Here is a 27,486-nt window from a genome sequence, read left to right as displayed (position 1 = left end):
GCCAGCAGTCGGGTTTCTTTCTCTCAGGCCCTGGGCCCCCGTCCTGCCCTGATGTGCACAGATGTTTCCAGGTTGACTTCACTGGGCTCCCACTGCCCTTCTCAGAGTGTGCGACAGCGCTGACATGCAGGTACTGTCCTTTACCTTCCTGTCACATCCTTCTAGGTCACAGAGAAGAAGCGATGGGCGCAGGACTCTAACTTTTCCTTAGCATGGTGCTCTGCACATTTGGGTCTCACAACAGGAACAAACTTCATTCCTTCTTGTTCCCAGTAGGCTCTTAAAACCAAGTAAGGGGACAGGAAGCAGACACTGGGTCCTGGGCTGCTGTCGGCTCGCTGCCTCTTTCTTCCCACTCCTCTAGCCTCTGAGCTGCTGGGAACCGCTGATAGATGCAGAATTAAAAGGGTAGGACAGGAGTCTTTCAAAGTTTGCCCATATGGCTGGCTCAAATACAATTTCCAGCATGAATTGAGTGGTGGAAATCGGATCTGACCACAACACTGCAGCACCCACAGAGTTCATCACAGTCTTCTCCAGGCCATTCTGACAACACTCCCTGCCGAGGGTGGGTGTCCCGGTGGAATGCCGCCACAGCACACACTGCGCAGTGGGGAACCCAGTGCCTCGGGAGTGAGGTCACTTCCCCCACCGTGAGCCTGTCTATTCTGGACCTCTGAGCACATTTCTCTGTGCTGCAAGTGTATTGCCTTTGAGGTTGAACTGTGTGGAAAATCATGTGCACTCCTTGAGCTGAGCTGAAGCTGGCAGGAGGAGCCAAGGCTTGGGCTCTCCTGCATAAGCACCTGGCCTAGGGCAGGGCCTACAGCGTCTGCGGCCAGAGGACCAACTCTCTGCTCCCAGCATGGGGCACCGATCCTTCAGCCCTGACACCAGCCACACTTGCCTTGCAGTGTTGCTGAAGGAGACAGGGATGAAGAGGTGTGCTGGTGGCTAGCCTAGTCCGCTGTGTCCTCAAAGACCAAGGCCAAGCAGAGTTAACCTGTTGTTGTCCAGCTAGAACCCTGAGGGAACCCCACAGACTTCTAACATGCCAGGTACAAGAGGCGCAGGGAGCTGTGCATTTGGAAGTGCAGCTTCTGCCCCGCACAAAGGCATCAGGCCAAGAGAGCAAACGGGGGCTGAAATTGAGCCTGTGCTCTGCGTGCTAAGCTGTGTGCTCACTCAGGGACAGAGGCCCAGACAAAGGGACAGCTTCTACTTTACCTAAAGCTAACTCTGCACCAACCCAAAGGGGGAGCCTTTTCTTTGTTTGCACAAAGGTTCTTACTGGCCAAGGTGACCCTGAGAAGTCCATTCAGTTCTGTGTGTTGGGTTCCCTATTACACATCTGGTGCACTAACATGGGCATGGGGAACTTCACTGGGACGCAATTCTATAAATTAGAACCTTGTTTGGATGGGCTTTGGAGTAAGAAAGTGAAGATTTCTTCCTTCCTAATTTGCATTTTTAAAGGCATCTTCAGAACCCATTCTTGTTCTCCTGGCCACAGCCTACTGCACTGCCCCACCGCTTAGAGTTAATCTTTTCCATCCCATTGCTTAGGCTCAGAAAGGAAGGCAAACACAGACAGCCCAGGGGTGAGGTGGAGTTTGGGCAGCCCTACAGGTTCTCCAGGACAGCATTTGGCTCCCTTTCCTGCCATGTTTATTAAGCAGACGAATCAGCATTCTCTTCCAGGTGGGCACAAATGGGTGTCCCACCTCAAACCATGCCACTGAAGACAGTCAGATTAAACCATGCCTACACAGCTGGGATATCTTTTCTCCAAAACTGGGGGACACCATGCATACCAGAGCCATTAGACCAATAAACAAATACAGACACACAGCAAAATCAACTCCGTAAAAACACGGCAAAATAAGCCCCGCCCTTTGTAAAGTTCAACAATCTCAAAGCATGCTTTGTTTTGCTAACTACTACAGGATGGAAAGAGGCCCTTTCCAGTTAGCCCCTATTCCAGGAGCTCTTTCTATTCAAGAATTGCCTCAAGTTCAAGAGTCATAGAACGCTGGATTTGAAAACCCTAGAGATTATCTAGTTCAGGGATCAGCAAACTCTTTCTGTAAAGGACCAGATAATCAATATTTGCAGCTTCCAAGACCATACCTGTATTCTATTATAACAATTCAACTCTGGCCTTGGAGTGATAACAGCCATACATGATATGTAAATCAAAGGGTATGGCTGTGTTCCAATAAAACTTTATTTATAAAAACAGGCAGCTGGATAGCTTTGCCCTCAGGCTGTTGTTTGCCCAACCCTTATCTAGTCCAGCCCTTCCTTGTACAGAGGAGAAGAGATGAGGTCGCTCCTTCACAGTCAGGGTCATTTGGAGGTCCACCCAAGACCAAGACCCGACTTGCAAGGCTTGGTGGGAGGAACAGAGATACTACTGCCGGCCTCAGGGCCACCAAGGCAGAGGCCAAAATCGCTGCTTGGATAACTAGAGATTGACTAACACGTCCAACTTCACCAGAGAGGACCAAAAAGCAGGTGGAAAATCAGGAGTTAAAATCTATCCACAGTTTAAATCTACAGGTTAAAATCAAATGGGATTGGAAAGACAACCTACATATCAAGCTCAGCCTGCAGAGATATAACCATCGGTTACAGCCTCTTAAGTGTATGCTGCTAGTGTTCATTCATCAGTTAGACTCAGGCACAATCTTAAAACGTCTCTGGTGAAGAAAAGGCTGGGAAAAGGGGAGAAACAGGAACTGGAAAGCCACTGGCACTTGTCTGTGAACAATATGAGAAGAAAACAGCAAATTCATGTTTTCCAGTCAGCAGCTAGTCAAACCTCTAACAGTACGTAAGTGGTCAGAGAGGACAAGCCCTCTCATCCAGGGCTGAGAACAGGTTGTTTTGGCTGTCAAGCATTTTCAAAACAAGTTTTCTTGGTCTCATGACAGGTTGTGGCAAGAATAAGAAAATAAAAAGAGTGGAAGATCCCATGATCGCTGCCCTGGGCTTCCATGTGGGCTGGCCCTGCCTGCACAGTCAGGTTTGCCTTCAGTGTTCAGATGAAGCTGGTCTTAGGGTTAATACCACCTTGCCAGTGACACCATTGAACAAAGTGATTCCTCTAAGAACTCTCTGGCAGCCAGATAATTTTTCTAGTCTGGGAGGAATAGGTCAAAGTCACTCTTAAGCCCAAGGGTGCTATTCTGCTTGAACCTACGCCCTGCTTTGTTTTAATTTTTACCTCATGTTATGTGGATGAATTATTCCCCTGAAACCAAGGTGAAAAGCTATCTGCTCTGAGTTGGATTTTTCCATCTCAACCGCAGGACGCTTAGTCAGGGTGGGGCAAAGAAAGCAGTGAGGAGGCACTAATGGGGACGGCCATGAGCCGGCTGGTAGAGAAAGTGCCATTAGCTCCTAGCAGCAGTGGTCCTGCTCGCTGTTAGGAGAGGAGGGTCAAAGCATAAAGCTGAGCACGGCAGTGCCGAAGGACATGCAGCCAAGTGGGGGTCTGGGGGATACTCATCAGGTAATCCAGTGAAAATGCCCAGAAACCAACCAACAAGGGTGCCAAGAATACTCAGATCCCCTGAGCTATTACTGGAGAGCCCAAAGTAGTAGACAGACACCTAGACCTGAATTCAGACTCAAAATCTGTGACCTTGGGCAGAATTCTCCCTTGTTTCATTTCTAAAGTGAAGCAGCGAGATTATCTTTCTGGCTTCGATATCCATGATCCTTGGATTGCCAGGGCACAGTGCACTGAATCTGTTCCCATCACGTGTGGGTGGCTGTGTCAAGTCACTCACACACGCATCTCCCCACAAGGGACAACTCAAGTTCCCGCTGTGAGCAATGTTCCTGGAAGAAACTTGAAGAGGATGCTCTGCCCTGAGACGTGCTCGTATTCTATGAGACATGTTATCAGACCACAAAGGCTGTCTTCATTCTACCAATTGACTGTGGGAATGTTCTGAAGAAAGCAAAGAAAATCCCCCATAAGGCCTTTAAGTTGGAGGAGGGAAAGGCTGATGTGTGTTCTTGCCCAGACAGAGGGGGCTGAGGATATGTGAAGGCTGGGGTAAGACATTCTTCCTTGCTTCACCCCCGACTCCCACCCCCACCCCCACCCCCACCCCCACCCCCACTCCCACCCCCATTTCCACTCCCACTCCCACTCCCAAACATGCACAGTGGGACCCATTAGATTTGATGTCTCTACCCAGGAAGTGATTTGAAGGCCCTGCTCAAAGCCTGCTGCGTGGAGCCTTTATCACCCGAGAGACAAGGCTAGCAGGCAGGTGAGCCTCCTTCCCCAAATATGGGGAACAGGTTTGTTCTGGCTGATTCCTGACCTGCTCCTCAATACAGGATGCCTTGTTAAATCTGAATGTCAGATAAATGACTTTTTAGTATAAGTATGTCCTCAATACTGCATGGGGCATACTTACACTAAATTATTTGTTGTTTATTTGAAATTTAAGTGTAACTGGACATGTTGCATTTTTAATTGCTAAATCTGGCAATCCTAACTCTGAAGATCCAGAGTGGGGTCTCTAAAAGCCCTGGACATGGAGGCGGCAAAGAAGGGGTGAAAGAACCCAAGCCAAACATTCCTTTATAGTGTTCCATGAGCATGACCCTTAGTTTTTGACTGTGTTTATTAATATTTCCAAGGCCAAGAAGGATCTATTATGATTTACATATCAACACCAAAGCAGATCATTATACCAATATGTAATTTGTAAACTGACAAAAAACCTGGCTGGGTGAGGCGGCTTATGCCTGTAATCCCTGCACTTTGTGAGGTCAAGATGGGAGGATTGATTGAGCCCAGGAGTTAAAGACCAGCCTGGGCAACATAGTGAGACTCCACCTCTAAAAAAAAAAATAAAAAATAAATAAATAAATAAATAAAAAATCAGCCCAGTGCTGTTGCATGGACCTGTAATCCTGGTTACTTGGGAGGCTGAGGTGGGAGGATTGCTTGAGCCCAGGAATTCAAGTCTGCAGTGAGCTATGATTGTGCCACTGTACTCCAGCCTGGCAACAGAGTGAGACTCTGTCTCGAAAAGAAAAGAAAAGAAAAGAAAAGAAAAGAAAAGAAAAGAAAAGAAAAGAAAAGAAAAGAAAAAAGAACCACACACACAAAGAAATACCTTACTGCCTACAGAAAAAAAAAAGATAAAATGTTTTAGCATGGTGAACACCAACAATGTGCCAGGCATTTTACAATCATTTCAGCATTTAACACTCACAATCCTCTGTGAGAAAGCCAAGGCCCACAGAGATTTAAAAACAAACAAACAAACAAACAAACAAAAAACTCTACTAGACAGTGGTTGAACAAGGACTTGAATTCCAGCTGGTCTGATTCCAGAGGGCATGTTCTCTGTACCCTGCATATCTCCTCCCCTCTCCTTCTCTCCCTTCCCTTCCCCTTTTCCCCTCCTCTCCCCTCTCCTCTCCTTCCTTCCTTCCCTCCCCCCTTTCCCCTCCCCTCCCCTTCCCTTTCTTTCTTCTCTCTCTCTCCTTCTCTCTTTCCTTTCTTTCTTTTCCCTCCCTCCCCACCTTCCTTCTTTTCTCTTTTCTTTTCTTTCCTGCCTTATCTACTGCTCTTGTCTTCAGTGGACACCGGCATACCTCCTGGAACCCCCATGCTTCCCATCTTCTGGGCCTTTGTGCACTCTGTTTCCTCTGGAGGAGTGTCCTCCCCTCTCTGCACATCAAATCCTACCCAGCCTCCAATTTCAGCTTCCTGGGTCCCAGTAAACAGACATAATCTTCTTTCCTCGACTCCTAGTGCTCTTTCCCTGCACGTTGCCACCTTAAAGAGAAGAATCTATGTGCAATTCTCATCCCTCCTCTAGTTCACCGAAAGCAGGGACTGTATCTTACACATCACTTAACATCGTACCTAACACCTAGTTTGAATTCAATAAACATCTGCTGAATGAATGAATGGGAAAAGTGATCTAGGCTAGTGATCTGGGCAAAATCTAATTAAATGTTAGCCACTACAAATCCACACTGGGGCATGCCAAACCTGAGTGTCAACCAAGGCAAACAGCCTAGACCCTGCAGTTCTAAACAGAGAGCTGAGCTCAGCTGCCTGGTGAATTTGGGATAACTCAGACCTTAATCTGAGGAAAAGAGGTGGTGCAGTATGAAACCAATCTAAAAGTTGGGAAAGCCAAGGTATATGCTCAGTTCCTACACTAAGTGACTCTGTGACCTTGAATACGTCCCTTCCTTTTGCAGGGTCTCAATTTCATAACCCGTAAAATAGGTGTAATAGCAGTACCTAGCTCATAAGGTTGTTACGAGAATTACAGAAATTAAAAAACATAAAGCACTTAGAGCTATGCTGGTGTACTATAATTATTCAATACATTTTACAATTCTTATTGTCTGTAAGGTGATTAGGAGGCACTGGGTGACCCATTGTTTATTCTGAGAAAATACGTGATCTTGCCCTTATATGCACGTTCCTGTAATGCTCACTTTTCTGGATACCTGGAATAATGACAGTTTAAGGATTATCCAGTCTCCCAAATGATCAATAATGCAAAACTGGGGTTTTCTACATTTTGATTTTGATTGTTAGAAGAACTACATAGCTTCCTGCTTTGCAATTCGGACTGTACTCAGTCTGCTGAGTAGTTAATGCCGTGGACAGCCTCACTGTCAGAATGTAATCTCAAGCAGCGATGGACCATTCCAGAAATCAATCAGTAGGCTTTGAGTTGGTGCTCTTCAAAATGTGTGTGTGTTAGTCTTCAGTGCTTTGTACATATTCTGCATATAGTGAGCTCTTACACGTTTGCTGAAGAGATTTAGCAGTAACTTAACTGCAGCTACACACAGACTGTAGGCTTACTAGTTGCTTCTGGATCAACTAGGAAACCACTGTTCTGCCCAATTCTCACAATCATGGCTGCTCTAAAGGCTGTTCTTCCGAGTGTCAAGGCCCCGCTACCTGGCAACTCAGCCCTGCCCACTCATGGCACACAAGGAGACAAACAAACTACTTTTTTTCCTCAGAAGTGACTTTGGATTACAGACTACCCTAGCTCACCCCCACCCCATTTCTGCTTTCTTGGCTTCGATTTTCCATTAGGCATGACTAAGTGCCAGAGGTTCTGTCTGTCTGGGAAAATAGGAGTCACTGGAATTTTCTATCCTCTTCTCAATGTGCAGCCTCCCTGCTGCTTTGGAGATAGCAGTAAAGTGATGTCTTTCCTTTGGCGCATTCCATTACAATACTCCTTCTTCTCTTTTGCCCATAGACGCTAGTAATAAGTTTGGCCACAGAAGCATGTTACCTTCTCTTAAAAGTACTTGGTTTTTAGACTCTCAGCAGGGTTATTTCTGCTCACAAACACCCTGGGTTTTCCCCATGGGCACAGAGGCCTTCAGCCTCCTGGGTGAGCCACTAGGAAGAAGGCACCCATGCCAGGCCACTCCACGGGTAGGTGGATGTGTACGTGGTGCAGGCTAAACTCCTGCCCTTGATGATTCTGTGCTGCTCCTGTGAGCAAGGGAGCAGGAAAGAGGGGAAACGTAGGAGGTCAGAGGTGGCTTGGGCTGGGCTTTGGACCAGTAATCAGGGGCATAGGGTTCTAATCTTGATACTGTATGCCTTGCACAAATTCTTCTAGGAAATGAAAATGATGAACTGAAAGTCAACTCTATGCCAATCACTGTGCTTAAAGGTCTATATCGATTATTTCATTGAATGTCTATCACAATAGTTAATGCTTACCATATTTAGACCTGGCAGTACTAGATGATCTCTAAAGTTCCTTCCATGTTCCATGTTCTGTGACTGGCCCCCACTGTCACACTTAACTTCCCAGGATGCATTCCTACTTAGTCACCCAACTTATCTCTGCTGTTGGTTGTGGATTTTGCAGGACAGTGGAGTAGAGGTAACTGCCCCAGTGAGTTTTCTAAATTTTGGTTTTGATTTTTAGAAGAACTACGTAACTTCCTGCTTTGTAATTCTGAGTTGTACTCAGTCTTCTGAGTAGTTAATGCCATAGATAGCCTCATTGTCAGAATGGAATCTCAAGGAGTGACAGACCATTCCAGAAATCAATCAGTAGGCTTTGAGTTGGGGCTCTTCAAAATACGTGTGTGTGGTAGTCTCCAGTGCTTTGTACATACTCTGTATATAATGAGCTGGATGGTACCTGCTTCCCATTTTTGCTCACCTCTGTAAATCCTCTACTTTAATAAGGCATGAATCTAGTTCATTTTCACAGGTGGCCCTTGTGCTGAATGATCTGACAAAAGACAAGACAGAATCTTGTTTCTGCAGAAGCAAGGCCTCTGCTTGTCATTATGATATGCACACAATGGACAATCCTGATGGTTCTTTGATGCTTCCCTTTTTTCTAGAATTCATGCCTTAATGAGAAGTGATAGAAACAAGCGGCTTGGCCCTCCTGCCTTGGCTGGACTCCACATCACTCATGACAGCCCTGAGCAGCCCTGGCGGCACCTGTCATAAACTAACACACACATCTGAACAGTCAAGCCTAATTCCTAAGAAGCTGTTTTAACTTGACATCTGAAAATGTATTGCATCTAGAATTATTTTATTGGGTGTGTGTTCAGGGCATATGTGTGCACGTTCTGCAACTGAAGTGTTCTATAAATATCAGATACGAGCTGTACAAAAAGGCATCACGTACACGGTGTACTTAATTCCATTTAGTAATGTTTTCAATTTGTGTCTGACCTCCGGCAACAGAGATGGAAGTTTCTCAACATGAATAAAAAAGTATGCTCAGCTACCTTAAACAATTTTCACTTAAAATTCCAGAAATATATTAGAGCTTAGTGATTACCAGGTGGGTACTAGCCCAGTACTTTCAGAGGAAGGTACTGAAGTCCAGAAAGGTGACGTGTCTTTTCCATGATCACGAAGGAAATTAATAATGGTCCCTAGATGAGACCCAGGTCACTTGACTCCCAGGCCACTATCCTTTGCTTTTTCTTGACTTACTGTACGTTTCTTCCCCCAGCTGTTCAAAAGGAACTCTGATTCCATTAATAGCATATGTTCCTACTATGGTTTATCATAAAAATCCCAAACCAGCTCCTCTACCCTTTCCTTTCTAACTCTATAGGACACCTGTCTATTTTTCCAGGAAAGAGAATACGTGACCCTAACTCACAAGCAAGGAAGTTGCTCTCCTTGGTGATCCCAAACACTTCCCCAGTGGCTGGCGGGGTAATTGGAACCCAAGCTTGAACACTCGATTGTTCTTTTTTTTTTTTTTTTTTTGAGACAGGGTCTCATTCTGTCGCCTAGGCTGGAGTGCAGTGGCGCGATCTCGGCTCACTGCAAGCTCCGCCTCCCGGGTTCACGCCATTCTCCTGCCTCAGCCTCCCAAGTACCTGGGACTACAGGTGCCCACCACCACACTCGGCTAATTTTTTGTATTTTTAGTAGAGGCAGGGTTTCACCATGTTAGCCAGGATGGTCTTGATCTCCTGACCTTGTGATCCGCCTGCCTCGGCCTCCCAAAGTGCTGGGATTACAGGCGTGAGCCACCGCGCCCAGCCCACTCAATTGTTCTTGAAAGGGCACACCTGAGTTAATTTTCCTGACAAAGATGTGCTGACCTTCCAGTTACTCTTTTTTTCTTTATTTTTATTTTTGAGACGGGGTCTTGCTCTGTCACCCTGGCAGGAGTGCAGTGGCACGATCTTGGCTCACTGCAACCTCTGCCTCCCCGGTTCAAGTGATCCTCCTGCCTCAGTCTCCTAAGTAGCTGGGATTACAGACGCCCGCCATCATGCCTGGCTAATTTTTGTATTTTTAGTAGAGACAGGGTTTCACCATGTTTCCCAGGTTGGTCTTGAATTCCTGACCTCAGGTGATCCACCTGCCTCGGCCTCCCAAAGTGCTGGGATTACAGGTGTGAGCCACCACGCCCAGCCCAGTTACTCTTTCTGTGTGACTATCCTGATAAGCTGAGTTCAGTGCAGCTTCTTCTGGCTTGTGTGACTGAGGCCAGAACAAAAGCCCTAACTGTTTTCCACTGAGAAAGCAGGATAAACAGGGGGTGCAGTCTTTAAAACTGCTCTCAGAGAAGCTTCCAGTGGAACCAAAGGAATACAGATGGAGGGCCTGGGGAGAGATGGCCTGAGGGGACCTGCAGAAGGGATTTACCTGCTGCCCCTCCCCCAGGGGAGCCAGGAGACTGAGCTGGGCTGTAAACACTCCGTGCCTGGTGCAGCCTGGTCTGCACAGGCTGAGAGGATGGTGAGTGGCTTCCTCTGGGATGAGGGCTGTATTGGCAGTAATTGATGGCCAGGCTTTTCAATGGAGCTTATCATTTCACTGCAACAGATGTCAGGTTCTAATAAATAACACGTTCTCACTGACCTATGCAATTTGGAGAGGATGCCTGGATGTCAGGCAGAGCTGGATTCCTCCCCATCTCTGTTGCTCTCTCTTCTGTAAGGAAAAACAAACCAAATCCCTTTAAGATACTTTTCAAAAGGGTTCAAGGATCCAATAATTCCACGTTATTTATATGATTTGCTTTTCTCTTCACAGCTCTACTTCTAAACCCCATAAGGAAAAGGCCCAGGAGGGACGGGTGAGCTTGCTCGTGCGGAATGGAAGGCCTTGGTGACCTCAGTCCCCAATTCCTGTGTCGCTCACCAGCACTGACTTTATTGTCTTCTCGGGGGCTCTGATCACCCGAGCTATGTTGGCCTGGGCCTGGAAAACTCCCTCATCTCTCTTGTGGGGAGTTCAGCTGAGATGAGGTTGGTTCAGCTGGTTGTGCTGGTACCAAGAAGATACAACCACAGGGGATGACAGTCCATTAATGGGGTGGCCTTAAACTTTGGGAACTCTAGCCAAGTTACCGAGGTTAAGGGACTGTTTACTGGGGTACATATGATGGTATCAATATTGACTCTGCTTTTAATTTAAAAATCTCCTCTTTTTCTCTAGGGATGTTGCTGCTGATAGCTAAAAATGATCAAATTCTTACCATATGCCAGACCTTATGCTGGACAATTCACTGACATTATCCCACGTAGTAGGCAGAATTCTAACGTGACCCCCAAGATTCTCCACCTTCTGTGTAATCCCCAGGATTGTGAATGTGATGGATTTCATTCTGGTAAACAGGTTTTGTTATATGGCACAGATGACTTTAAGACAGGGAGGCTTTAAATCTGTGACTAGCAGAAGACATATGGAAGGCAGAGATTCAAAATATAAGAGGGATCTGACGCACCACTACTGGCTTGAAAATGGAGGGGACCACATGGCAGAGGACGCACGCAGCCTCTAGTTGCTGAGGGTGGTCTCCAGTTGACAGCGGCAAGGTAACAGGGGCCTCAGTCCTACAACCACAAGGAACTGAACTCTGCCAACATACTGAAAGAGCTTGAAGGAGGAGCATAAGCCTCAGGGGTGAGATCATAGACCCAGACAAAGCCTTGATTTTAGTTGCCTAAAACCCCGAACTGAGAACCCAGGCATCTTGAGTGGGACTCCTAACCCACAGAAACTGTGAGATTAATAATTAGTGGCGTTTTAAAAGGGTTAACTTATGATATTTTTAAAATTAGCAACACAGAAAATCATACACCCCATGTGATACCCATCATAACCCTCTCAAGTAGGCTTCACCATTTTATAGACAAGGAAACAAAGACCCAGGGAAATTAGGAATTTGCCCAAAGTCACATAGCCTGTGAGTGGCAGAGACAGGTTTAAACCCAGCTATGTCTTGACTTTATGGTCAGTGCTCTTCATTGCCTCATGCATTTCCTCTCTGTATGAGAAGAGAGCCTCAGACACATGGTGAAAAGAGTATGGAACTGTTTCTGTCTGCCTGGGTGTGGATGTGCAGAAGGGTCAGAGGACCTATGCTTTTGTTTTGGTTTTAAATGGTGAAAAGACATATACATAGAATCAACTAGCTGGATTCAGTTTAGATGATCCCAATATGCCTTCTTCTCTCCATCAGGCCTGATCAGGGTGTTGGCTTTGGCCACAGCAGTGTCACTGAGCTTCTTCACAGCCTGTTTGATCTGGTGCTTGTTGGCTTTGACATCCACAATGGACACAAGTTGTGTTGTTGTCTTCTATCTTCTTCATGGCTGACTCAGTGGTTGGGGGAACCTGATGATGAATTATTGGTCAAGCTTGTTTCTCCTGGGAGTGCTCTTCCAAGCATATTTCTGCTGCCTGCAGAGCCACACTGTCTTGGGCCACTGGCAGGTGGGTGATGTGTGGATTGGATCTTCTTTTTGTGGCTGTGGACACCTTTAAGCACTGCCTTCCTGGCCTTCAAAGCATTCGCTTTGGCTTCAGCTTTGGGAGGGGCAAGAACTTTTTTCACTTTTGGTGCCATAATGTGAAAATGAGGACCTATGTTGAGCCCTCACTCCTCTAGAAGCCAGCTGTGTGCCCTCGGCAAAGTCAATTAATCACTCTGAGCCTCAGTTTTTATAATCTGTATGAGGCCTACTAAGAATTTCTGCATTATAACCCTTGAAGGGCTGCAGCTGATGATCCCATAAAAGTGTGTGAGGGGCCACTGTGAATGAAGTCCACAGGGCAGACAGAGGCACCTGGATGTCATGTAGATATCATTTTCTTTTCTTGATGACTGCCAATTTCAATGTCCTCTGCCTATAGGCTGGATATGGTCACTCTGATGGCTTATTTGGAGGAAGTAATTTTAAATAGGTTTTTTTTTTAGAGGAAATGATTATTTATTACATTTATTGAAAAACTACAGAATAAGATGGAAGGTAATTTTTCTTTTTTTCTTGAATTCTTTAAAAGTTAGTTGACTATTAAAAGCCAAAGTAATAACAATGTATTGTGGAATTCATAAAATACGAAGACTGAAAGTGTGTGAATATGACAGCACAAAGATAAATAGAAGGTACACAGATAATTACACTGTTTATACAGGAAGCATTATAATATTAATTCACGGTAGGCTGTGATAAGTTAACGGTGTATTTTTAGTGTATAAATGACTAAAATATACAAAGAAATATAGCTAACACACCAACAGAAGAGAAAATGGTAAACTAAAAAATACTTTAATAAACTGAAAGAATACAGGAAGAAAAGGACAAAGGAATAAAAAAAAAAAACCCAAACCAAAAATATGAATAGAAAGACTGTAGGGCTTAAACCCAGTAAGCTTATTATTTATATTAAATGTATAAATAAATGAAATACTCCAATTAAGGCCAGGTGTGGTGGCTCATGCCTGTAAGCCCAGCACTTTGGGAGGCCAAGGCAGGTGGATCACTTGAGGTCAGGAGTTTGAGACCAGCCTGGCCAATATGGCAAAACCCCATCTCTACTAAAAATATAAAAAATAGCCAGGTGTGGTGGTGTGCGCCTATAGTCCCAGCTATTTGGGAGGCTGAGGCAGGAGAATCACTTGAACCCGGGAGGCAGAGGTTGCAGTGAGCCGAGATCACGCCACTGCACTCCAGCCTGGGTGACAGAATAAGACTCTGTCTCAAAAAAAAAAAAAAAAAAAAAAAAAAAAAGGCCAGGTGTGGTGGCTCATGCCTGTAATCCCAGCACTTTGGGGGGCCAAGGCAGGTGGATCATGAGGTCAGGAGTTCAAGACCAGTCTGGCCAACATGGTGAAACCCCGTCTCTACTAAAAATACAAAAATTAGCCAGGCAATAGTGGCGCGAGCCTGTAGTCCCAGCTACTCGGGAGGCTGAGGCAGGAGAATTGCTTGAACCCAGGAGGTGGAGGTTGCCATGAGCCGAGGTCACACCACTGCACTCCAATCTGGGCGACAGAGTGAGACTCTGTCTCAAAAAAAAAATTAAAATAAAAAAATAAAAAAGAAATACTCCAATTAAAAGGCAGACATGTTAAGACTACATTAAAAAACCCAAGGTCTACAAAAGGTTTCTTTCAAATATAAAGACACAGACAGGATAAAGAAAGGATGAAAAAAATATATACCATGTAAAAAATACACAGAAGAAAGCTGGTGTAACAATTTTAATATCAAATGGAGCAGATTTCAAGTCAAAGAATATTGCCAGAAATAGAGTCATCTCATAATGATAGAAGGACCAAGTTATTGAGAAGACCTAACAATTCTAAATATGTATCTAAAAATAAAGCTTTAAGATATAAAAAGTAAAAATTAGCAGAAGGGGAGAAACAGACGAATCCAAAACCCCACAGGTGAAAATGTTAATACCTCCTTTCAATAACTGATACAATAGACATAAAAAAACAGTAAAGAGCTAAAAGATTTGAATAACACTAACAAGTAATTTAACTTAGTTAATGTATATATAGAACACTATACCCCAAAACTGCAGGACACACATTCTTTTCAGGTTTACATGGAATATTTATCAAGATAGATCACATGCTGGTCTACAAAACAATTCTCAACAAATTCCAAAGGCTTGAAATCATACAGGTTATGATCTCTGACCAAAACCGAATTAATATAAATCAATAAGATATTTAGAAAAGTCTTTCTAAACACTTGAAATTCAAGAAGCACAACTATAAATAACCCATGGTTCAAGAAGAAATCACAAGGGAAATCAGAAAATATTTCTAATAAAATAATAATGAAAAATAACATACAAAACTTTGTGGAATGCAGCTTAAGCAATCTGTAGAAAGTAATTTTATATTAAAAAAGAAAAAAGGATTAAAATTGTGACCTAAGCTTCTACTCTAAGAAACTTGAAAAGGAAGACATTAGAAACAATGTATTGCCAATCACTTTGACAACTTAGACATGATGGATCAATTTCTTATTAAAAAACCTAGCTTGCTAAAATGAACACAAGAAGAAATACAGCAATCTGAATATCCCTACATTTACTAAAGACACTAAATATTTTTTGCACAAAGGAAACCCTACCAAACATTTGGAAAGAAATAATACTAAATCTGCACAAACTCTTTCAGAAAACAAGGGAGGAAGGAATACTTTCCAGTTTATTTAATGAAGCCAGCATAGTACTGATACCAAAGACCTGACAAGGACAAACACAAGAAAAGAAATTTTAGACCAATATCATTCATAAATGTAGATGTAAAAATCTTAAAATTTTAGCAAATCAAATTTAATAATATAAAACAGGATAAAATCATGACCGAGAAGGGTTTATCTTTGGAATGCAAGGTTGGTTCAACATGCAAAAACTAAATAATGTAATTCACATTAACAGAATAAAGAAAAACCACATGATTATGTCAATGTCAAAAGATGCAGAAAAAGCAATCTATGGAATTCAACACCCATTCATGATAAAAAAAGAAAAAAAGAAAACCTCTTAGCAAAGTAGTAATACAAGAATTTCTTTAACGTGATAAAGACATCTATGTAAAACCTCAACATTAGCCTTAATAGAGAAACATACAGCTAGATTCTGCTCTTATCACTTATGTAAAAAATTGTACTGGAGGTCCTATTCAGTGCAAGTAGGTGGAAAAAGAAACAGAAAAACATAAAGATTGGAAGGAAAGAAGTAAAGCTGTTAGCATAAGGCGTGACTGTTTATGTAAGAAATTGCAGGCTGGGCGTGCTGGCTCATGCCTGTAATCCTAGTGCTTTGGGAGGCCAAGGCAGGTGGATTGCCTGAGCTCAGGAGTTCAAGACCAGCCTGGGCCACATGGTGAAATCCCGTCATGCCTGTAATCCTAGCACTTTGGGAGGCCAAGGCAGGTGGATTGCCTGTGCTCAGGAGTTCGAGACCAGCCTGGGCAACATGGTAAAACTCCGTCTCTACTAAAAAAAAAATACAAAAAATTAGCCTGGCGTGGCAGCGTGTGCCTGTAGTCCCAGCTACTTAAGAGGCTGAAGCAGGAGAATTGCTAGAACCTGGGAGGTGAGGTTGCAGTGAGCCAAGATAATGCCACTGCATTCCAGCCTGGGTGACAGAGTGAGACTCCATCTCCAAAAAAAAGAAAAAAGAAATTATAAGAAATCTATTTAAAAAATCTATTAGATTTTAGTAGTAATAAGTGAATTTAGCAATGTCACAGGATGCCATGTCAGTATAGAAAAATCATTTGTATTCCTGTATACCAGCAACAAACTAGAAAATAAATTTTTAAAAATTTTGTTTATATTTTTATATATTTATAAATATTTTATATTTATATTTTTATATAATTTACAATAAAAGCAAAAACAGGTGGAATGCAGTGGCTCATGCCTGTAATGCCAGCACTTTGGGAGGCCGAGGCGGGTGGATCACCTGAAGTCAGGAGTTTGAAACCAGACTGGCCAACATGCCAAAACCCTGTCTGTACTAAAAACACAAAAATTGGCCGGGCATAGTGGCGGGCGCCTGTAATCCCAGCTACTAGGAAGGCTGAGACAGGACAATCACTTGAACCTGGGAGGTGGAGGTTGCGGTGAGCCAAGATCATGCCATTGCACTCCAGCCTGGGTGATAAAAGCAAAACTTTGTCTCAAAAAAATAAATAAAAATACAAAAATTAGCTGGGTGTGGTGGCACACGTCTGTAGTCCTGGGTACTCAGGAGGCTGAGGCACAAGAATCTTTTGAATCTGGGAGGCAGAGTTTGCAGTAAGCCAAGATTGCGCCACGGTACTCTAGCCTGGGCAACAGAGCAAGACTCTGTCTCAAAAAAAAGAAAAAGAAAAACATTTAAAAATATTTCAAGATTTCTACATTGAAATATTTTAAAAATTTCTGAGAAACTAAAGACCTAAATAAAACCATGTTCATTGATTCAGTATTATAAAAGATTCAGTATTGTAAAAATGTCAATTCTTCCCTTGTTGATCAGCAGGCTTTTGGTGGGGGGGGCGTTGGAGTGGGGAGAGGTGGGAATTGGCAAGCTGATTCTAAAAGATATATAAAAATGCAAAGGACCTAGAATAGCCAAAACAATCTTTAAAAAGAACAAGCTTGGATACCTTTCCTGATTTCAAGAAATATTGGTATACCTTTCCTGATTTCAAGAAATATTGGTATACAAACCTATCAATGGAACAGAATAGAGTATCCAGAAATAGATCCACTCACATGTGGTTAATTGACTTTTGACAAAGATGTAAAGGTAATTCAACAGGGAAAGAAAAGTATTTTCAACAAATGGTGTTGTAATATCTGGATACATATGAACAAAAAATTAACCTTGGCATCTACCTCATATCATATACAAAAATTAATTTGAGATGGATCATAGGCCTATGTATCAAAACAAAAGCTTCTAGAAGAAAACATAGGATAATTTCTTCATGACCTTCTAGTAGGCTAATAATTTTGAGTATACAAAGAGCATTAACGTAAAAAACAGATTTCATTTAAAAAATGAAGATTTTCTGCTCATCAAAAGACACTCTTAAGAAATGAAAAGGGCAGGAATAGTGGCTCACACCTGTAATCCCAAGATTTTGGGAGGCTGCGGCGGGAGGATCAAGGATCACTTGAGCCCAAGGGTTCAAGACCAGCCTGGGCAACATAGCGAAATATTGTCTCTATTAAAAAAAGGAAAAAGAAAATGAAATGGCAAGCCACAGATTGAAAGACGATACTCACAAAAAATATATCTGACAAATATATAAAGAAACTCATATATACAACTCATTAATAAAAAGACTAACAACCAAATTAAAAATAGGCAAGATTTGAACAGACATTTCATGAAAGAGATAAACCAATAAGCACATGCCAAGATGCTCAACATCATTTATCACCAGGAAATGTAAATTAAAAACATGAGATCTTACTTTATCCTCTCTAGAATGGTACAATTTAAAAAGACTGACAATAGGATGTGTTGGTGAGAATGTGAAGCAACTGGAACCCTGGCATATTGCTGATGGGAGGGTAAACCGATACCACTTTAAAAAAGCTTGTCACCTTCTCATAAAGTTAATCACATATGTACTCCCACTCCCAAGTATTTACCTGAAGAAAGGAAAACACATGTCTACAAAAAGGCTTGGTCATAGCAGCTCTATTAATAAAATCCTCAACCTGGAAACAACACAAGTATCTACACATGGGTGAATGGATTAATACATTATATTCATATAATAGAATATTACTCAGCAGTAAAAAAGAAATGCCATAACAGATACATTTTTTTTTTTTTTTTGAGATGGAGTCTCGCTCTGTCACCCAGGCTGGAGTGCAGTGGTGTGATCTTGGCTCACTGCAACCTCCGCCTCCTGGGTTCAACAGATTCTCCTGCCTCAGCCTCCGGAGTAGCTGGGATTATAGGCTTGTGCCAGCATGCCCTGCTAATTTTTGTATTTTTAGTAGAGATGGGGTTTTCCCATGTTGGCCAGACTGTTCTCGAACTTCCTACCTCAGGTGATCCGCCCGCTTCAGTCCCCCAAAATGCTGGGAGAACAGACGTGATGACTGCTCCCGGCCACCATAACAGCTAAATCTTAAACAATTATGTTGAATGAAATGAAGATAAATTTCATTGTGTCAGACACAAAAGAGTATGATCTGTATTATTTCATTTAGAAGTATCTAAAAGAAAAAACTAAGACAGGGTGATACAGAACAATAGTTGCCTTGAGAGTAAAGAGACTATTTGGAAAGAGGCTATAAGGTAACTTCGTCAAAACTTGTCAAAAGATATACTTAAAACCTGTCCACTCCATTGTATATAAATTATACTGTAATTTTAAAAAAAGATATATATGCAAAGCCATTTCCTTCAAAGTACTCATGGTTTGGTTAAGGAAACAAAATATATATGAAGATGTGAAGAACTAAAAGAAAATACCAAAGAGATTCCAAAGCAGTATGTGATTAGAGTCAAAGGAGACTGGGAGGGGAGAGAGCTGCTGGCAAAGTAGAGTGGATGGGAAAACCCATATGGGAGAAGGTTGAAGGATGTGTCTGTTTGAGGGGGCAGAAAGAGGGTGGGAGGAAAGGCGTGAGCAAAGGCACTGAGGTACACAGCAGAAGCTAAAACCCATGGTCTTCCAAGTGTTAACTTGCTGGCCTCTCATAGCAAGTCCATCCAATAGGGAGGAGTACAGTCCTGTTTTAGGAATGAGGTTCAGAGAGGTTAAGAGCTCTGCCCAAGACCACAGAGCTTGCAGGATTAGACTTTGCAATAGCAACTGGGGCACACATGACCCCAAAGCCTGTGCTCACCTTGTAAATGCTGCTTCACTTGCGAGGGACAGAATCTGCTAGACAGCCATGAGAAAGAAAGAAGCACATGTGGTAGGAAAAGCCCTGGTCAGTGCCAGGAAGTGTCCTTTCTGAGGTTACATTGTTTAGAATTTTGCTCTACAGGAGGGAATAAACAGCTGATTCCACTCAAAAGGCTCCACTGCTGTTCATAAACCATGAGAGTGTTTATGTCATGGGCAGAGCTCCCCAAGTGAATTATAGCCTTTTACGCACTGTGTACGTACAGTATTTTCACAGGACAAAGAAACAGGGTGTGGAAGGAATGCTACAGTTGACCCTCCTCTCTTTCCATCCTTTGTCTTCAACCTTCTCCACCAATCTCAAGACTATACTGCAGGACAGTTCTTTCACGGTGTTTATCTGGCTTTCTGACACAGCACAGGGTGGTTACTCAGTTCAGCTGAAGAATGGAAACTTAAACTATTTCTTCTTGCTAGCACGAGCTGCTGGCTTTCTCTTTTATTACATTTAAAATGGATCCATCTTCGCTACAGTAGAAAGCAGATTTTTTAAACATTACTTCAGATGTTTTCTTTAGACTGGTGTTAACATAAAGCAAATGTCTCTTGAAACTCTGAACCAATCTGTTAAGATAAACAGGCTTCACTTACGATATTCCTATACTGAAATCACGGGCTTGTGGTCTGCAACTTCTTAAAGACTCAATTCATACTTGCTAAAATGTCTACTTAGGAAACACACACACACACATACACACCAAGATAGCTTTGCCATGGAAACCACAAAGACACATCTGGTTCAGCACGTACCACAAATAATGCCCATCTTCTTAGGGCAGATCCTATGTATACACAAGGAAAGCCCAGAAAATTAAACGATATCAATACTTCAAGCATAAAACATACTTCATAATTCCTTTTTTCCATTGTATTTCAGGATGTGTAAGTCTTAATCATTGTTACTTGTTATATTTGCATATGCTTGTTTTTGTCCTGAATGGGATTTCAGACTTGGGTGTCACGGATAAAAAGAGAAAATAAAGGGAAAGAAGAAGGCACATTAAAGTTTCAGATAACAACTCTGGATTCTGCATATAAATCTGAGGCAGTCTGGTTTCTAGAAGAAGACACCCTGACATTATTTAAGAATCTCAGGCTGGGCGCAGTGGCTCACACCTGTAATCCTAGCACTTTGGGAGGCTGAGGTGGGCGGATCACCTGAGGTCAGGAGTCCGAGACCAGCCTGGCCAACATAGCAAAACCCCATCTCTACTCAAAATACACAAATTAGTCCGGCGTGGTGGCACATGCCGATAGTCCCAGCTACTCAGAAGGCTGAGGCAGGAGAATTGCTTGATCCTGGGAGGTGGAGGTTGCAGTGAGCCGAGATTGCACCACTGTACTCCAGCCTAGGCAACAGAGCAAGATTCTGTCGCAAAATAAAATAAAATAAAATAAAATAAAAAGTTATCAAGCCTGCTATAAGTGAAAGTCTTGTACTACAGAAAAATATAGGTGAGGTCAGGAGGCCCCATGGAAGGGAATGGGGTCTCTCTGGGAGGGGGAGGCAAGAACAGGAAGTCCTACTAAGTTCTTGATTAGTCATGGCTAATCAAGAACATTCCAGATCTGGAGGTCCAGGTTTTGTTAGTAGGTACTTTGAAATTGTCAGAAGTTTCATATGATAAAGGCTTTATCTTCTTTGCTGGGCTATAAATTCCATGAAGACAGGGACAATTTCTAATTCGTTTATCATTATATTCCTAGCATTGAGCACAATGCTTGGAACATGGTAGATGCTTAATAAATACTGGATGAGCAAATGAAGAGGAGGCCTAATAGATAGTCTATATTTGTGTGATACTTTGGATCTGATCATCCTTCAGCTGGGATCACAGGTGTGAAGCATATGACTGTTCCAAGCGATAAAGTTATAACCACATGCACTCTTCGATTTATTTTTGGAAACTATGATTTTGATCCACTGCTTCTTCAATCTAGGAGGTCATGGTTTATGAAGACTGATGTTCCAGACACCAAAGTCTTAAATATAAAAAACACTCAGCATATTTCTATATTTACCTATTCTGTATGACTGAAGTGAGGCCTTCCACACTGAGAGGTTCATGAGCAATAGTTGTACCTCTAAACTCCAAACTTTAGCTAACTTCGACCTCTATGAAATCCTACTTCCATATCTATTCTAATAGCCCTAAGCTATTTGTGTAGCTGTTTATTTGACCAAGAAATACACAGGTCCTACTTTGGGCAACAGCTATGGTATACACTGCAGAGACGCAATGAGGTATAGAATTCAGAGATTCATTTCCATATGAAAGAGTAGCTACCGGCTCCAGGTGTTGACTACTAAGCAAAAATTGTTTGTTTACTGCCACCTGAAATTTTCCATTTTTTAAAAAACTATAAAAAGTAGCTGCCAACATTTTCATCATTTATGCCATTTACCCACAACTCGAATTCCTATTTAGTATTTATCCTCTACTCTAAATAGAGAGGTAGTTTTCTGATAAATTCTACATTCCATGAAAAAAAACAAAAGCTGTCATGGCTAATTTTAGAGACCAACAGAAACAGTAGAAAAAGGAAACACTTTCAGATGTAGATCAGCTTCTTCCTGATGAAGCTACAAAGGGCCAAACAGTAAATATTTTTTGTTTTCTAGGCCATCCAGTCTCTGTTGCAACTACTCACTCTGCCACTGTAGCATTAAAGCGGCCACAGATAATAAGTAAAGAAATGGGTGTTGCTGTGTTTCTATAAAACTTTATTTACAAAAACATGCACAGGGCAGGAACTAACCTGCAAGCAGTAGCTTGCCAACCCCTGGACTAGATAAACAAAATGCTCTTACCTGTTGGAAATAACGACAGATTCACTTACTTTGCTCTTTTGGCCATTTCATTTCCATCCCATCTGGGGCTGTACGGATAATTTTTTTGGGCCTGGGAGTAAAGCTGTCCACTGTTGGTAAAGTGATAAACGGACTGAAATGTGAGAGTTGGCTGGTCTCGAGGGAAAAACAGAGGCAGGTCAACTGCAAAGACAGAAGAAAGAAAAAGAAAGTTAGAGCATAAACACATCTTAAGATTTTTTTTTTTGACTAAATCCGAATGTTAGGTACGAAACTCTATTTGAACCACAAATACTGCTTGCAGTTTGGATGAAAGGTGTGGTGTATAGAGAGGCACCAAGAAATACAAAGTGACTTCTCCATCTTCGAGGAGTTTATAATCTAGAGGCAAATCACACGTGGGTGAAAATGTCACCAATAGAAGGCATGATGTGTAGGTGCTGTAAGAATGCTTTGAAATGGTCACAGAAGCTTAGGGAAGGATGCTTGGGTGCCTGCAACCATCTGACATTCCTCTCTAGCACTTCCCGGGATCAATATTCCATAGCAGAGTTCTCTTTCTATCTGTTTTAAGTGTCTATTATAACATAAACTCTTCAAGGGTTGGGCAATGTATTCCACATCTATAATTTGATGGAGGCAGTGGGACAGAGGCTGTTTTTCAAGAATGCATTTGGAGAAGCGGTAAGAGTGCAGGTGATAATCTTTCTACTTTATAGGATATGGCAACCAGACTACCAGGAAAAATGAAGTTATCACTCTACTTCCAATCAAGCAGTGAATTTTGATACTCAGCAGTTTCAGTTTTTTCCATATGCATTACCACATATATTTATATCTCCTAAATCAGTGGGAGTTCCTTAATGGAACGCATAAGGTACTACTCTGAGCACTAAATATGTTTGCTGTGATAGTACAGGCTAATTCCAATCCTTGCTGTTAACATGTGTTATATGCTTTATCTTTCATTTTGGGGTTCTTTAACTCAATTTTTAAAAGTAAACTGACTTGTTATTAGTTGAGGCAAATCATCATTAAAAACACAGACTGTTTCAATAACACATTCTTAAAGGTATATAACGTATATGTGTATGAATGTTATCCACTTCTAGGACAAAGAATAGGAACAGCATAAAAATAATAAGAAAAACAAGTATAGAATTTTCTAGATTTACAGGGTATCTTTATACACGTTATCTGATTTGTTACTTAGAACTCCATGACAGAGACATTATCTTCAACATTTGCATTTAACAGGTGAGCAAACCAGAGACTCTAAGAGGTATATTAACTTGCTCATGTCATAGTCAGGCAGGGGCAAGACTCAAATCTAGTCCCATGATTCAAACATTCGGCTCCTACTATGCCCCACATTGCCTTCTCCTACTCCAGAGGACACTGGCATAACCTGCTTACGACTCATTCACTATGTCACAATTTAGGAAGCTAAAGTTGTCATTATGAAGTATGTATAAGGTTCGTCTTTTTAGCTACATGAGGAAGATATATTTAAAAATACATACCAGATAATTAGGCCAGGCACAGTGGCTCACACCTGTAATCCCAGCACTCTGGGAGGCGGAGGTGGGTGGATTACCTGAGGTCAGGAGTTCAAGACCAGCCTGGCCAACATGGTGAAACCTCATCTCTACTAAAAATACAAAAATTAGCAAGGCGTGGTGGCAAGCACCTATAATCCCAGCTACCCGGGAGTCTGAGGCAGAAGAATCGCTTGAATCCGGGAGGCGGATGCTGCAGTGAGCTGTGATCGCGCCACTGCACTCCAGCCTGGGCAACAGAGTGAGACTCCGTCTTAAAAATAAATAAATAAATAAAAATACATGCTAGATAATTATACATCTATCACTATTCTAGTCTGGGGTGACATTCAACTTGGACTAGGTACTCTCAGCACTCAATATGATTTCTTGAAGGAAAACTTAGGTCCGCAGCAGACTTTTAAGGAGAAGCCAAAAAACTCCCGAGAATCAAAAAACCATCCAGTTGGGAGGGCCTCTTAGACTCGGAGTGCACTTGACTCTGATGATGACTGACTCAGTGCTGCAGGGGGTTTCTACAGATGAATCACACGACAGTCAGAGAAAAGGGCACGATTTTGAATGTCCACTCTTTAGTCACATTTTTCAAGTACCACAATAGGGCAGTCTGAATACATGTCTGTTGGTGCCAAAGCAGAGAGTTCATAGTATAGAGGAACAATACGAAAGACTGATTAAAATCAATAATTCAATTCAGAAATCGCTTTTGAGTCCCTGCATATTGCAAAGCATGATCTGTAACGTTTTCAGTCACTCTGCACAAATATTGCTTTCTAAAATTAACTTTGTATCTTTTCTCATTACTACTTCCATTTCTTCTGATTAATATTTATTTATTTATTTATTTTTGAGACAGGGTCTCGCTCTGTCGCCCAGGCTGGATGGAGTGCAATGGCACGATCTCAGCTCACTGCAACCTCTGCCTCCTGGGTTCAGGCAATTCTCGTGCCTCAGTCTCCCAAGTAGCCGGGATTACAGGCGCCTGCCACCACGTTCGGCTAATTTTTTATATTTTTAGTAGAGATCAAATTTCACCATGTTGGTCAGGCTGGTCTTGAACTCCTGACCTCAGATGATCCACCCACCTTGGCCTCCCAAAGTGCTGGGATTACAGGCGTGAACCACCGCGCCTCTTCTGATTAATTTTTTAAAAAGGCCTATTCGTGGCTGGGCGCGGTGGCTCACTCCTGTAATCCCAGTACTTTGGGAGGCTGAGGCAGGCAGATTACCTGAGGTGAGGAGTTCGAGACCAGCCCGGCCAACATGGTGAAACCCCGTCTCTACTAAAAATACAAAAAATTAGCTGGGCATAGTGGTGCGTACCTGTAATCCCAGCTACTCAGAAGGCTGAGACAGGAGAATCTCTTGAACTCTGGAGAGAGATGTTGCAGTGAGCCGAGACAGCGCCACTGGACTCCGGCTTGAGCAACAAGAGAAAAACTCCGTCTCAAAAAAAAAAGCCTATTCACATATACTTTGACTTCAGTTGTTTTATACTATGTACACTTTTGCAAATATAAAACAAGGTTGAGAGTAACCTCCAAAGCAATCATTACCAGCAGAAAAGTACCATGAGAGCTTCCCTACAAGAAAGCAACAATTTTAAACAGTAGAACTCAATTGCAATAATTTATAAATTTAAAGCAAATACAGTCATCACTCAGTATCCAAAGCAATGCAGATAATACCACAGGCTATGTGATTTTCAAGCTACTGGCTTTTTCGGGTTTTGGAATGCCTTCTATTTTCGTTCTTATTATTTTGTTTTGTAGAAAATGAGTTGCTGGTATTAATATTTTAATATGCTAAAAAATGATTTTTTCCCACCTATTTTGGAACCATCTTCTTTGACTCCCTAAATGCCCAGTTAGCATCAGAAATAATTCAAAATATGAAGGAAATGTATCTACCTGGGCAAGTGAGTTGTTCTGATTTTTAAAAAACAGCAGCAAGGTAATGTTGATATCTACCACAGTCCCCAAAAAGCATTGATTACATTATTATTTCTCCATGGAGATTTGTCTAACAAAGTGTAATTGAAGCCAATATTAAAATTTGAATACTTTCTCAGTGCACACAGTAAATGTATTATTAGGGGAGCAGGAACAGTCAGAGTACTTCAGAGATAAAACTGGCAATTCACATATGAGAAAATAAAATTTTAAAAATACAGTATCTTGCTCAACTTAACTAAGCTGTATCCTGTCTATATCAGTCAATGGTCAATAAAATGATGGCTTATTTTAAAATGTTCTATGCATAAGAATGAGTTAATAACTAAAATATTTATGAGAAATACTTCACATTTTTCTGACAAGAATGATTTGAATGGTACAACTTAGTCAAGATTAAAAAAATTAAAACTTGCTTTCCTTATCCCCAAATGTTTCTGTCACTTAACTTTTGCCTATAGGTTAACTCATGATTTTCTGATGCATAGTAAAATAATTACTTTAGGACTTCCAACAGCTAACTTGCTCTGAAGGAACCGCCCAGATTCCAAGGATTTGGGGCTCATAGTTTCAGCTATATCAAAATTGAACACTTTAACCATTTGCTTTCTTTCCTTTTTTTTTTTTTTTGAGATGGAGTCTCACTGTGTCGCCCAGGCTGGAGGGCAGTGGTGCGATCTCGGCTCACTGCAACCTCCACCTCCCAGGTTCAAGTGGTTCTCTTGCCTCAGCCTCCCAAGTAGCTAGGATTACAGACGCCTGCCGTCATGCCCAGCTAATTTTTTGTATTTTTAGTAGAGATGGGGTTTCACCATGTTGGTCAGGCTGGTCTTGAACTCCTGACCTTGTGACTTGCCCGCCTCAGCCTCCCAAAGTGCTGGGATTACAGGCATGAGCCACCATGCCTGGCCAGCCATTTGCTTTCTTAGAACCTACTGGGTCAGGTTTGATTCTTAGAGCAGAATCATCTCATTTGATTCAGTTACTTAGTGTCAGTATTATTTTGACAACTGCTTCCTATTTCCTTCTTCCCATATACAGAGACTAAATCTTGGTTGGCTCTTCATCCACAGAGGGGATGGTCTGCACCTGTTTAGTAGAATTTCAGTAACCATTTCTTTCTTCTCTTTTTTTAAATTTTTAATTTTTTATTTTTAGAGATGAGGGTCTTGCCATGTTGTCCAGGCTGGTCTCAAACTGCTGGCCTCAGGTGATCCTCCCTCTTTGGCCTACCAAAGTGTTGGTATTACAGGCATGAGCCACTACACTCGGTCTCAATAACTATTTCTGAAGCATTCTTCAAGAACTTGCTGAAACAAGTCACACCAAATGCTTCTTAATTCTGCACAAACCAGGCAGTTCACAGGATGCATTCACAAGGCTCTGAAGCCCTGGGGGAAGGGAGGAAGAATTAAGCTCTGCACCGGTTGCCTCACTCTGGACAGTCACTGCAGTGATGGGTTCCGCGGGTTGCAGTCCCAGAGCTTGTGGTGCTCTCCAGACAACAGCCAACCATGCAGCTTTGGGGGAAAGCCGAATGCACTGATAAACTATGCTGCCTCTCTGTGAACTCTGGTGAGGTTCAAGTAGTGGCTGCATTTCTACCTTCCCAAGCAAACATGCTTATCTGCCCCTAAATGCTCATCTTTTCACTAGAAGACAACTCTAGTAAGGTGGTATCTCAATTCATAAGACTTTCTAGAAATTTCTCACTTCTCCAAACACCTCAACAATGGAAAAATGAATAGCCAAAAGAAATGCCATACCATGCATGTGATTCCCAGGATAGCCTATCAGACACTCAACATTTCAGGCATAGTTCAACAAGTTTGATTATATGATTTCTCCAGAAAAAAAAAGTATCTAATTATGGCAAAATGAGGACAAGGAACATTAAAGGCAAGTAGTCACAATTCGCAGTCTAGCACAGAGGAAGAATAGAATAAATACAA

The 27,486-nt window shown here is 42.3% G+C and overlaps 1 protein-coding gene, 1 long non-coding RNA gene and 1 pseudogene across 15 annotated transcripts in view, besides 2 other annotated features; 1 reads left to right on the top strand and 2 right to left on the bottom strand.

Annotated features, from left to right (window-relative positions):
- The window catches only part of BABAM2 (BRISC and BRCA1 A complex member 2), a 450,193-nt gene that overhangs the window by 18,358 nt on the left and 404,349 nt on the right, over window positions 1–27,486 (bottom strand). For 7 of the 14 annotated variants that reach the window (NR_137437.2, NM_001329112.1, NM_001329113.2 and 4 more), the window contains one exon: window positions 22,053–22,206. Coding sequence is in view for 10 of the 14 variants with exons in the window: in NM_001329112.1 (NP_001316041.1) it covers window positions 22,053–22,206 (154 nt within the window). In the remaining 4 variants the exon portion in view is untranslated. Of the gene's footprint in view, window positions 1–10,174; window positions 10,463–22,052; window positions 22,207–27,486 lie in introns of all 14 variants that reach the window. The other 7 variants (NR_137440.2, NR_137439.2, NM_199193.3 and 4 more) reach the window with 3 other exon arrangements.
- Window positions 379–1,374: an enhancer, noted in NCBI's record as "H3K27ac-H3K4me1 hESC enhancer chr2:28542037-28543032 (GRCh37/hg19 assembly coordinates)". NCBI's record gives its function as "activates a minimal SCP1, AML or CMV promoter by ChIP-STARR-seq in naive and primed H9 embryonic stem cells {active_cell/tissue: H9 hESC(naive and primed)}" and the evidence as "EXISTENCE:reporter gene assay evidence [ECO:0000049][PMID:30033119]".
- On the top strand, window positions 10,085–12,853 carry BABAM2-AS2 (BABAM2 antisense RNA 2). The gene is made up of 3 exons (NR_038319.1): window positions 10,085–10,267; window positions 10,565–10,607; window positions 10,970–12,853. It is a non-coding gene; the product is annotated as a BABAM2 antisense RNA 2 (long non-coding RNA).
- Window positions 10,182–11,381: an enhancer, noted in NCBI's record as "CDK7 strongly-dependent group 2 enhancer chr2:28532030-28533229 (GRCh37/hg19 assembly coordinates)". NCBI's record gives its function as "activates an origin of replication core promoter dependent on BRD2, BRD4, P300/CBP, MED14 and CDK7 cofactors, with strong dependence on CDK7, by STARR-seq in HCT116 cells {active_cell/tissue: HCT116}" and the evidence as "EXISTENCE:reporter gene assay evidence [ECO:0000049][PMID:35650434]".
- On the bottom strand, window positions 11,974–12,393 carry RPL23AP34 (ribosomal protein L23a pseudogene 34; annotated as a pseudogene).

This window comes from Homo sapiens, chromosome 2 (genome assembly GCF_000001405.40).
Source record: "Homo sapiens chromosome 2, GRCh38.p14 Primary Assembly".
Lineage (NCBI taxonomy): Eukaryota > Metazoa > Chordata > Mammalia > Primates > Hominidae > Homo > Homo sapiens.
Note: the sequence above shows the minus strand (reverse complement) of the source record. Positions and strands in the feature narration are given on the sequence as shown.